At 38.9% G+C, this 13119-nt stretch overlaps 1 protein-coding gene across 4 annotated transcripts in view, besides 2 other annotated features; it reads right to left on the bottom strand.

Annotated features, from left to right (window-relative positions):
* Positions 925-1459: an enhancer, noted in NCBI's record as "H3K4me1 hESC enhancer chr3:24023963-24024497 (GRCh37/hg19 assembly coordinates)". NCBI's record gives its function as "activates a minimal SCP1, AML or CMV promoter by ChIP-STARR-seq in naive H9 embryonic stem cells {active_cell/tissue: H9 hESC(naive)}" and the evidence as "EXISTENCE:reporter gene assay evidence [ECO:0000049][PMID:30033119]".
* Positions 1460-1996: an enhancer, noted in NCBI's record as "H3K4me1 hESC enhancer chr3:24023426-24023962 (GRCh37/hg19 assembly coordinates)". NCBI's record gives its function as "activates a minimal SCP1, AML or CMV promoter by ChIP-STARR-seq in primed H9 embryonic stem cells {active_cell/tissue: H9 hESC(primed)}" and the evidence as "EXISTENCE:reporter gene assay evidence [ECO:0000049][PMID:30033119]".
* The window catches only part of NR1D2 (nuclear receptor subfamily 1 group D member 2), a 35332-nt gene continuing 25526 nt past the window's right edge, over positions 3314-13119 (bottom strand). For all 4 annotated transcript variants that reach the window (NR_110524.2, NM_005126.5, XM_006713451.4 and 1 more), the window contains one exon: positions 3314-6708. Coding sequence is in view for 3 of the 4 variants with exons in the window: in NM_005126.5 (NP_005117.3) it covers positions 6512-6708 (197 nt within the window). In the remaining variant the exon portion in view is untranslated. The remainder of the gene's footprint in view (positions 6709-13119) is intronic.

Below are 13119 nucleotides of genomic sequence, written 5' to 3'. Positions count from 1 at the left end.
ACTTTCCACTTTGGAAACGACCCTAACTGCATTTAACTGCAGAATTGAGACAGGAAATTAAACAGCTACTGCAGGGGGAGAAAACAGATGAGCATTTATAAGCAAAGCAACAAAATAATAAGGGGAAAACTGCTGGAGTTAAGGTGTTCAGAGCAATATGAGACAATAGAAAAGAAAAAAAAATACAGAACTGACTTCAGAGACTTTAAGAAGATCATATTTGACTCTGCAGACTCCAGTAGAAAAAATAGGGGGAAAAATTTTAGGAACACCATATTCACCTGCGGATTTTGTTTTTGAGTCATTTTAAAAACACTGATCCCACCCCTGTCAGTAACTTGCATTAAAAAGTATGGGAAATGCTAACTTTGAGAGCATGTTTACATTCTGGGGAATGTGCCCCATATTAAAGCAACTGCAGAGATTCTGAGCTTCCTCCAAGACTTCCCCTTAGGGCTCCTATACTCACTGCATTCAGTGTTGTTCTAAGTGGATTTTGTACTCTGGTGTCAAAAATTACCCCACAGCAACCAACTCTTACACAGCGAAGAGCAACACTGATGTGGCTACTAACACACATGCCACAGCTGTTTCTAAGCTTTTACATAGACAGAGAATAAAAAAAAATCAAACATAACAAATTTTAACACAGACCCAATCTAGAGTAAAAACTAAAACCAGATCTGTGAAGTGATTATCTTTATTCCTGTATTCACAGACAGCATTCCTCAATTTCACAAGGAATTTAATCCATTTTGTTTTCCATCAACCACACATTTACTTGGAGCTTGCTTATTAAACTGTGCAAAGAAGGGGACAAAATAAAATTAAATTTGTGCAATAATGCACTGAATTCGATCAACATCCTGATCAACACCCAAAATGGGTATAAGGTTAACAAGCCTTTTTCTCCTAAAAGCTGTCTTTCTTAAGAGTCCCAACAAGTGCTCAGCACAGGAAAAAAAAAAAAAAAAAAAAAAAAAAAAAAAAAAAAAAAGGCAAAGGGGTTATTTAGGGAAGACAGTTTGATGAAAATTGCATCCCATTAAACCCTTCCTTAAAGGATTCACAATGCACACTGCCTCACTGCAGAACAGGACTGACATGGAGACATCTCAGTAACCTTGTTTAACCCAGCATTTCCAAACTTACTTGATCAAGGAGCCCATTTTTCCCACCTAACATCAATTAACATCCACAGAAACACAGTGGATATTTATGGCAGAAGCTGCTCCAGACGGCCCATGGCTGCATCACACCAGCTGCAGCAAGGAGGTGCCTCCAGGGCTGCATGCTCCATAAAGCCGGTGGGAGGCCCACCCATCTGGGTCCAGTTGCAGCTGCCCAAACATCCCTGCACTGTTTTTGTTGTTGATGTTTTTTGAGACGGAGTCTCCCTCTGTTGCCCAGGCCAGAGTTTGGTGGTGCAATCTCGGCTCACTGAAGCCTCCTCCACCGGGGTTCAAGCACCCTGCACTCTTGGGGGCACGAGGAAGGCCCCCTCACTGGCCCTGCCCTCACAGGCTCAGAAGTGCCTGTTCCCCCTGCTATTGGCACTCACTCCGACCTTGGAGCAAAGTTGGGGCCAAGTCCTGGGGTCATGAACAGCAGCAAGAGACAGACGGGTTCCTGGGCAGAAGGAGGCGGGTCCCCAGTGAGGCCCCACCTTCAGGCTACAGAGGGCCTGAATGCTGGCAACTGAGCCGCCAGCCCTGCAGACCAGAGTGGAAACTTGTGGTGCCTTTTCCAGGCCCACCCATGGCTGCCCGTGGACCAATCAGCATGCACTTCCTCCTCTCCGAGGCCCATAAAATCCCTAGGCTGAGTCAGAGCTGGGGAAAAGGTAGGGATGACCAGCTGCAGAGAGGATCTACCCACTCCAGGGCCTCCTCTCTGCTGAGAGGATGGGGAGACCAAGGGATGGCCAGCTGTAGAGAGGAACTACCTTCTCTGCTGAGAGCTGCAGAGATGACAAGATGACCTGCCTGCAGAGAGCAGCCACCCACTCCAGGGTCTCCCCTCTGCTGAGAGCTCCAGAGAGTGGGATGACAACCTGCCCACAACAAGGTGCTTCCCACTCCAGGGTCTCCTCTCTGCTAGGCCTAAACACTCATTGGGATACCCCTGGCTGCAGAAAGGAGCTGCCCACTGCAGGTCCCCTCTGAGCTATTCTATCGCTCAACAAAGCTCCTCTTCATCTTACCCTCCACTCATCTGTGTACCTCATTCTTCCTGGTTGCAGGACAAGAACTTGGGACCCACTGAATGGCAAAGCTAAAAGTTGTAACACAAATAGGATTGAAACATGCCCCTTGCTCACCACGCTGTGGGTGAAGGAGAGAAAAGCTGCAGCCAGCCCTTCAGGGACGTCACACCTGGGAACGCCCCAAGCCAAGGCTGTGATTCCCTCTTTGGAGCCCTGTGGTTCCTGGCATCTTCAGCCTTCCGGCCACCACTGCATTCCCAGGTGCCAGCTGGGAAAGCTGCTCATGGTGCACCTGGTCCAGCTGCAGCCTCGCAGAGAGCCTGCACCTGGAGATGTCTATCCCATGGCAGCAGCTGATGTGTCTGCACAGTAGCTGGACCCCACGCTCGCTCACACACCCCTTGCTGCTCCATGCCTGACTCACAGTCTCCCTTGGAGGCGTGGGATCCAGGCCAGGAGCGTGAGCTGGGTACAGCCTGCCAGGCCAAGTGGGTGGAACAAGCCCAGTGGGCCCGAGCAAATCTCAGGCAAAGGTGCCACCAGCTACAGGTTTCCAGCTAGAAAAGCAACACCCCCAAGATTGCCTAACAATATTACTGCAAACAATGGAGATTTAAGTAGCTATCTTAATTTTGCCAACATGGGAACAACTGATAGGAAAAGAAAAAGAAGCTAGTGGTCTTGCTGAGGTGCACTCCATTCATGGCCAAGGGTGATTTCTGGTTATATCAAGTACCCCATTCCTCTCTCACATCTCCTACCTAGAAAGACTACCTTATTAGACACAACGAACCATTACTCAGTTGGCATTATAGAAAATAGCAACAGTCCTTGCCAGAATCTCAACTCTAAAATCTTTTTTTAAGCCCTGTGTGTGTGTGTGCATGTATATATACATATATATATATACACATACATATATACACATATACATATATATGTGTGTATATACACACACACACATATATACATATACACACATTTCCCCATGCTGAATCAGAGATTTACATAAAACATCCTGCTATGCTCAGGGGAAAGATACTTGTAGTGAGTTAAATTATTAGTTTTACAAAAAAGGCAAGGTAGATTAGACACCAAACACCACAGTTGGTTAGAAATATTTATTATCCCCTCCCCCCACATACAGATTACTTCTCAGAAACATGAAGATATTATCCATGTCCTCATCAATTACAGTTTGTAGAAAATAAACTTAACTCATATCCCATCAACAATGTATTTCTATCATTTTTTTAAACAATAGCCATTTCATTTTTCCATGTTAGTTCCAGAATAGCTTCAAGTTTTATCTTTTGGATCGAATCCAGTCAATCTTTGTTTATAGGTAACAGTTTCCTAACAGATCCCCTCCCCCAACCCCTAAAAAAATTCTATATCCTAAGTGATAAACTCTTCTTGTACATTCAGCAAACTTTATATTGGAAAAGAAAAAGAATAATTGAGATAGGTATTTACTTTCGTGCACAGTAATAAATCTAGCTGAGCTGCTACACCTTGCTTTGCAAAGATGTTTACATAAAATAAATCATCTCTTATCAAGTTACAATGGTAATTTCTTGAAATGTAGATATGAAAGCTATACACTTAATCCACTGAAATTTCCTTCTAATTTTTTAATCTGTAATTAAACCATCACCATAAGGACAAGCTTCATCCCAAGATGTTCCCCCTTTTCCCCTCAGCTATTTCTATCAACTTGAATCCTCTCTCAGATCATGTAAAGAGATACATTAAAAGCACAGGAAAAAAAATGTTTTAGCTTGCTGACATAATGCCCTTAAGTTTGCTGACATAATGCCCACATTTTAACTTTAAAATGTAAAATCAAAGTTAAAGCATCACTTAATTCATACAGTACATTATTAATCAACAGTGTCCCACCAACTCAGAAGTTTCCTAAATTGGCTGCTTTCTCTGCATTTAGTAAGTTTATAACCAATGACTCAATCAAAGAATGTGCTTGTAATAGGCTGCTGGTTTAATTTTAGAATCAAAAGTTTTATATTGGGCTACTTTCAAATATAGAAATGCTATGAGTGACATATGAACTATTAATTTTGTTTCCCATTACCTACAGGAAGAATTTATTCAAATAAAATTTTACAAGACAAAATGCAAATCTATATACCTATATAGAGATGTATATATGTATATATTGAACCTAACTAAAGTTTTATAAGCAATACTAACATAGTTCTGGTTACACATTCCTAAAGACTTAATTGTTTTAAAGATACATGTTATAAAGAGGCTTATGCAAAAGGCAAAAATTAAGAATCAACATGATCTTTTGAGGTTTTCATTACTTCAAAAAGCTGTTTCTATCACCCATAGAAGAAAACTATGCATTTGTTTATCTTAGGAAAAAAAATTATAAAAAGATAATGCTATCATGTAAAGATTCACAAAAACTATACTGTATATCCCATAAGAGTTATACCTACTTAAGGTAAATCACAATTATGGTTTATATTGTACTACAGACATCACCATCGCCTTTCCTCTTTAATAATGAGAGGGTTTAACTTTTTTTTAACTTACTTAACTAGTGCCACAGTAAATCAAGTCCCAGTAGCAACAAGTTAAACAAGATTACAAAATAAGGCATTCTGCTCACACGTCATGAAAGTAACAGGCTTAGTACAGTAAAGCGGGCTGTTATCATTTTTGCAATTTTATATAATCCAAACATTATACAGAAGGCAATCTTTACCAAAAAATCCAATTAATTGCTATTTTCCAGGTAAACAGGAAAACATACATAAAATCCTCAACTTTGGCTATTTCTCCTACTACCATAAACAGATGCTGATCTTATCTACTTAATCAAGTCCACTATTAGAAATGTGGATAAAATGTCTTTGACTATACCATTTCTAAGCCTGTAGGTCACACACTAGATGATTTTTCAAATTATAAATTAAATCTAATATGACAAAATCCCTGTAGTGTTATTTAGGAAAAAAGAAGTGGACTCAGAACATACACACGCACGCACACACACACATGCCATCATATTAAACAGTTGCTTTAAACATTAATTAGTTCTTCAGAAAGAATAAAAATTCTTTAACATCAAGCTGCAGCATGTGTATAAGGGGCAGCAATGCAACCTTTCTCAGCACAAGGTAAGAATATGAATCAACTTTTAAACAACTAGTACCCTGAACCAAAGATTTTGCCAAAGATGAACTCTAAAATACATGTTTTTTTTTTTTGTCGTTGAAATTTGGATTCAATTGCCTGTTGCACTTTTACATTAAGTGTTGCTTAAATAAACAAAAATAGAGCATAAATTCAATATTCTACTGTCTAAACATTTTAAAGCAATGGTTATGCCATCATAAACAAGTAAAATGCACCTAATTTGGGTCTTTTGACACCTCTTGTTTTAAGTTTCCTGTATGATAAAGTTCTTCACAGTTTAAAATATTGTGAAGAAATATATTTAACTATATTCACATACATATTATGTACATGTACTATGTCTTTGTTGTACCCATAAACTTTGAATACGTGTGTATCAGTAGGATACCCCACACATATGGCAGGAACCCTGAATAATATGGTTGGTGTGGACTGAAATGATTTCCCAGAAAGGCTTAGAAATAAGAAAAGAATATTATTATGAATAATTGTAATAACAGAAATTTTACCTTATTTACATAGTGCCTATCTCCCAAGAGGTAAATATGCTTTACAGACATTTTTTAGTAACTCTGTGAGGTGGGGCATTGGGGACACCATCAATTCTCATTTTCCGCAAGCAAGTAAACTACCCAGGACCACACACTTTAGCAGTGGTAGAGTAAATACAGACATGGAGATCTCCTAAATCCCGAAGTCTCCAATTACCAGATCAAATAGTCTTGTGGTAGTAATAAGATTTCCATCATTCAACAGAACTCCTACCACAAAGGATTAATTTCTAAGTCCTCATACACTTGTGATTGTGCGTTATATTGATAACCACAGGGAGATCAAAATGGTTTTTGGTTTTGGCAGATGAAAAAGTCTAACATTCAGTGTGATTATACTTCAGTGTAACTTCTCCAGTTTAAGTGCGACACAGCTGATTGGTCTATCAGGGAGATGCAGTCAACGTCTAATCATGGCTGAAGAGTTCTCAATCCGAACAGCTATTGCATGATTACAGAGATAGCCTACAATCTTTTATTGTCTTAAAGGTCTTTTCTATCTCCACATATGGTATACACATATAAATATGCATTTTAGCACAAAATGTACAGTTACCATCAGTTCATGTTTAAATAAACAAAGGCCTTAAGGGTGAACTTTAAAGGCCAAGAGCTCCTCAGAGTGCATGTTGTTTAAAGATCGAAGATCTGGCAACTTTAGAAGCAGTTTTGTAAAAATAGAGGCCTCATTTGGATGGTTTTTCATTATTAAGGTCCTTAGTGCACGAATGAGAGTTTCCTGCAAAGCCTCCACAGAGTTGACGTTTTCTATTCCAGATCGATCTAAGAGAGATCAGGAATAGGGAAATAGGAAAAACAGGATAAATTATTAACATTAAATATAAATAAAATTCTTGCTTATCAGTGTCACTAACGAATAGAAAGCAAGGTTTTATACATCTGAATAAAGGCAAAAGTTGACAAATTTCTCAAAATCTCAGTAACAAATCGTTAGCTAGTTACTATATTATAAAGCATATATATCACATAAAACATTTGATCAATCAAAATTCTTTACTGTTAAGAATTTTTATTCACAAGAACATAGAGGTTCTGACTTTTTAAAATTAGATGTCATCTGATTTCAACTGCTTCTAATTAGCAAAATAAAATAATGTAGTATATAAACATATTTTCAATACATATGGAATACACTCCCATTTGTATGTCACCATGTGTGGTAGGCAGCCCCTAAAATGGCCTCCAATGATCCCTTCATCCTGGTATTCGCACCCTTGCGCAACCTCCTCCTACTAAGTGGACCTAGACTTACTAACTTCTAATGAAAAAAAATATGGCAGAATTGATAGGATGTCCGTTCTGAGATTAGCTTACAAGAAACTGTGGCCTCCATCTTAGGTACGCTCTTGCTCACTTACTCTGAGAAAAGCTGCTGCCATGCTGTGAGCCACCCTGTGGAGAGGCCCACATGGCAAGGAACTAAGAGTGGGCTCTAGCCAACAGTCAGCAAGCAACTGAGGTGCTCAGTCCAACAGCTTGCAAGGAACTCAATCTTGCCGATAACTACATACAACTGAAAGCAGATCCTTCCCTACTCAAGCCTTCATATGAGACCACAGCCCTGTCCACAGCTTAACTATAACCTCCTAAGAAACCCTGAGTCAGAGGCACATATCATATCCTATCTCTCATATCATATCTTAACCCTCAAAAACTGTGAGATTAAATAAATGTTTGCATTTGTAAGCCCCTGAATTTTGGGACAATTTGTTATGCAGTAATAGGTAACTAATACACTATGCAACTTTATTGCTATGTAACCCTACATTCACTTTCATTTAGCATATTGTGTTTATTAAATTTGTCATACAATATGTTTATAAACCAGTCATTTGGCATAAGCCTGCAATAAAGTATCTTAAAATCAGGCAAACCTATGTAGATCACCCATAGATGTTTTCATCAGCAAGAGTATTTTTTTCCCTTTACAACAGGAGGCAGGAGTATACAAAAATATTCAATGGTCCCCCACATGGGAGGTTGTAATTAACAAGAAAAAGATTTCTAACTTCTACAAGGAATCAAAACTTCTGGCCATTCATGCCCTTTCGTTTTTTTACAAGGATATTGAGGAGGTCTTCCATTATAAGTGATAGCTGAAAAAGGTCATTTGCCATGAAAGCACTTAAAACAAGGACTAAAATTTAATAGTAAAGGGCAAAAAAAGAAAAATTTGATTAACTCTAAATGCAGAAGAATGATAAAAATAAGTTTTATCTTTTTTTTTGAGATGGAGTTTCACTCTGTCACCCAGGCTGGAATGCAGTGGTGCGATCTCGGCTCACTACAACCTCTGCCTCCCGAGTTCAAGCAATTATCTGCCTCAGCCTCCTGAGTAGCTGGGATTACAGGCACCCACCACCACACCTGGCTCATTTTCGTATTTTTAGTTTCACCATCTTGGCCAGGCTGGCCTTGAACTCCTGACCTTGTGATCCACCCGCCTCGGCCTCCGAAAGTGCTGGGATTACAGGCATAAGCCACTGCACCTGGCCAGTTTATCTCATATTTAACAAAATTTGAACATTACAACTATATGTTAATTCTTATTTGGAAAAAAAGGCCAGGCATGGTGGCTCACACCTGGAATTCCAGCACTTTGGAAGGCCGAGGCAGGAGGATTGCTTGAGCTTAGGAGTTTGAGACCAGCCTGAGCAACATAGTGAGTCTTTGTCTTTACAAAAAAAAAAAAAAATTTAATTGAATGGGCATGGTGACACATGCCAGTAGTCCCAGCTACTTGGGTGGCTAAGGTGGGAGGATCACTTAAACCCAGGTCAAGGCTGCAGTGACCCACGATCATTCCACTGCACTCCAGTCTGGGTGACAGAGCGAGATGCTGTCTCAAAAAATAAAAAGAATGTTGGGCAGGACGTGGTGGCTCATTCCTGTAATCTCAGCACTTTGGGAGGCCAAGGCAGGTAGATCACCTGAGATCAGGAGTTTGAAACCAGCCTGGCCAACATGGTGAAACCTCGTCTCTACTAAAAATACAAAATTTAGCCGGGCATGGTGATTGGCATCTGTAATCCCAGCTACTTGGAAGGCTGAGGCTCAAGAATCACTTGAACCCAGGGGATGGAGGTTGCAGTGAGTCGAGATCATGCCCCTGCACTCCAGCCTGGGTGACAGAGTGGGAGCCTGTCTCAAAAAAAAAAAAAAAAAATTGGATATTGGTTTGTGGGGGTAGGGGGAGGGTCACAATTTTTCAGACAAAACTACTGGCAGAGACCTCTTTCTCTTGACATTTAACTTTGGTCAATCATAAATTATCTTCATAAAAATAAAGCCTTCAGTAATGATTTGAAGAGTCCCTCTTGCCTTTGATATTCAAGTAATGGTTTTTTTAAAAAAAACACTATTTCACTTGATGAAATCGTTTGCCAAACATTTATTAAACATATGTACTGGTTACTGTTCTAAGGTGCTTGGAAATCAGCGGTGAACAAAACAAGAATGCCTTTAAGGAGCTTACATTCTGACAGAGGAAAATAGTCATGTGCCACGTAACAATGTTTCAGTTAATGGCAGACCACATATAAAAGGGTGGTCCCATAATATTATAATGTTGCTGAAAAATTCCTATCGCCCAGTGACGTTGCAGCTTTTGTTGTCGTAACATCATAGCACAACACATAACTAACACGTTTATAGTGATGCTGGGGTAAGCAAACCTATTACACTTAATAATAGTAAACAACTATATTACTGATTTAAGTATTTACTATACTATACTTTTTATCATTATTTTACAGTATAGTCCTTCTACTTCATTTTTTGAGAACTCCTGAACTCAAATGATCCACCAGCCTGGGCCTCACCAAGTGCTGGGATTACAGGCATGAGCCACCTCGCCCGTCCCTTCTACTTAAAAAAAAAAAAAAAAAAAAAAAAAAGGTAACTGTAAAGCAGCCTCAGGCAGGTCCTTCAGGAGATATTCCTGAAGAATGCATTGTTATCATAGAAATATAGAAGGTGATAGATGATGACAGCTCATGCATGTTACTGCTCCTGAAGACCTTCCAGTAGAACAAAATGTGGAGGTGGAAGACAGTGATATTGATGATGATGAGCCTGTGTAGGCCTAAGCTAATGTATGTGTCTGTCACAGTTTTTAACAATAAAGTTTAAGAAGTAAATAAATAAATTATAAATAGAAAAAAGCTTATAGAATAAGGATATAAAGAAAATATTTTTGTATAGCTGTACAATGTGTTGTTTTAAGCTAAGTGTTACTACAAGACTCAAAAAGCTTTTAAAAATTTAAGTTTATAAAGTAAAACAGAGCAAGCTAAGGTTAATTTATTATGGAAGAAAAAAAAATTTTAATAAATTTAGTGTACCGTACGTGTTCAGTGATTAAGTCTACAGTCATATACAGTAATATCCTAGGCCTTCACATGCCCTCACGATGCACTCACTCATTCACCCACAGCAACTTCCAGTCCTGTAAGCTGCATTCATGGTAAATGCCCTACACAAGTATACCAGCTTTTATCTTTCATATCTATTGTTACTGTACCTTTTCTTTGTTTAGATATGTTTAGATACACAAATACTTATTGTGTTACAAACTGCCTGCAGTACTCAGCACAGTAACATGGTGTACAGGTTTGTACCCTAGTAACAATAGGCTATACCATAAAACCCAGGTGTGTAGTAGGATATACCATCTAGGTTTATGTAAGTACACTCTATGATGTTCACACAATGACAAAATTGCCTAACAATGCATTTCTCAGAACATATTTACGTCATTAAGCGACGCATGACTCTGGTTTCAATCATATGATTAGTAATTTATAATACCGAAAACTGAGAAAGAATGACAGTAATCCCCACAAACAAAATAATCTAGGTGGGCAAAGAAAGAAACAACTGATAAGTTGGGAAGATACCTGAGTGGGAACTAGTATTAGTAGTAGTTGGTTGGACAGGTGTAGGAAGTCACACAAAAAATTTAAAAATGTTTGAAGTTGTTGGTCTTTCAGTGGCTATTTTGTGTTTAGATGACCTATGCTTCGTTATACAACTCAGAACTTCAGGGAAATGGATGCCTATATCTAAAACCATAGATTGTATTAAATTTTTCTAAAGCCTCCATTTCTAAAACCATGGTTTTTAAGATTTCAAGGCCAAAGAACCTAAGGTACAAACCTGGCTGGATGGTAAACAATCTTCTGGAGACTATAATGTTAAGAGTACACATGTTGAAGTGGAAATTCATCTTCTAAATGGTGTACTAAATGCTACACTAGTACTGCAGAGTTTAATTTATGACACTTCTATCTTCTCTCTCCTTAGCTGGTTCTTCATTGCACTCCCAAGCTTGTACTCCTCACCAAATATTCTATTTATTTTCACTTCCTACAGGATGAAAGTCAAACCTTCAACAAAAATCTCTATGAAGACAACTGAAGTCTGTATGTAAATGAGCCTTGACCTCACACCTACATGCAAGTCCTTAATCTTCAACTGGAAGTGGCTGCTGTTACTTTAAACAACCTGAAAAGAAACTTACCTTCCAGGTATAATTCCCCTTCCATGATACTAGGATTCTTCCAATCTTACAGGCAAACATCATGTTTGAGATTTTTCTCCCCCTTAGCAGCTAGAGCTATTCTGTTAACAAGCAGTATAATGGAAAGGCTTTGAAGCCAGACTAATGGGAGTTCAAATACTTGCTTAGCCAGTAATTAAAAATGGACATTGGGTAAATTACTTAATCCCTCTGTTCCTCAAATCCCTTGTCTGTATAACTGTGAATAACATGTCCCAGCTCACAGGGATCTACTGTGAGGATAAAGTAATATAATGAGATATAGAAATTAACTACCATTTCTTCTGACAACCCAAAAACAACAAAAGAAGACCACTATACATTTCCAAGAAGAAAAAGCTATTTTAAAGATAAAGCAAACTATGTTACTTAATTCTAAACAATTAATAGAGAACTGAAATAAACTATCCATTTGTTCCCTGATTCAAGGTGCAGAGGTTTGGAGAAGAGGTTTCCATTATTCTTTACCATTTCAACCTCACTGTGTGAACACTGTAAGTACTATTTACATAATCATAATACCATAAATGCTGACTTTCAACTTTTCAACTTTGGGAATTGACTGATCAAATCATGACAAACAGTGATAGAACAAGATATAAATGTTTTAATTGACTACATAAAAGGAATGTTACAGCGAAGTCAGAGTACAAAGAAAAAACTGTCTTTGAACAATTAAGAGATTCTATCTAAACTATCCAAAAGACATTATGTATAAGGTCAAAAACTGTGAGTATATTAAAATTACCAACAAAACCATTAAAGTAAATTAAAAAATAAAACATAAAAAAATTGAGAGGGAAAAGGAAGGATACTTTTATTTATAAGTTATACTCACTAAATAAAAAGAGGTATAGGCTGGGCACGGTGGCTCACGCCTATAATCCCAACACTTTGGGAGGCCGAGGAGGGTGGATCACCTAAGGTCAGGAGTTCAAGACCAGCCCGGCCAACACGACGAAACCCTGTCTCTACTAAAAATACAAAAATTAGCTGAGGATGGTGTTGGGCACCTGTAATCCCAGCTACTTGGGAGGCAGAGGTTGCAGTGAGCTGAGATCACTGCACTCCAGCCTGGGTGACAGAGTAAGACTCTGTCTCAAAAAAAAAAAAAAAAAAAATAGGTATAGAGATATAAGCATTATATTCAGAGTTGGGTGGTCAACAACCAGAAAATTAAAAAGAAGGGTGTTAAGAAATCCAGTTTTCTGAGGAATAAGGCTGGGGTGGAGGAAAGAGGAAAAAAGCAGAGACTTTTCATTTTAAACTCTTCTGTAGCGTTTGAATTTCATTTTCCTGCCTAGATACTGCTTTAAAAACAGCTAGTAATTTATGCTGCTGTTTGGCCGGGCACGGTGGCTCATGCCTGTAATCCCAGCACTTTGGGAGGCCGAGGCGGGCGGATCACCTGAGGTTGGGAGTTCGAGACTAGCCTGACCAACATGGAGAAACCCCCTGTCTACTGAAAATACAAAATTAGTTGGGTGTAGTAGTGCATGCCTGTAATCCCAGCTACTCAGGAGGCTGAGGCAGGAGAATTGCTTGAACCTAGGAGAGGGAGGTTGCGGTGAACAGAGATCATGCCATTGCACTCCAGCCTGGGCAGCAAGAGA

Source organism: Homo sapiens, chromosome 3 (assembly GCF_000001405.40).
Source record: "Homo sapiens chromosome 3, GRCh38.p14 Primary Assembly".
NCBI classification, from domain to species: domain Eukaryota; kingdom Metazoa; phylum Chordata; class Mammalia; order Primates; family Hominidae; genus Homo; species Homo sapiens.
The sequence above is the reverse complement of the archived record's forward strand: the minus strand, read 5'-3'. Positions and strand labels throughout refer to the sequence as shown.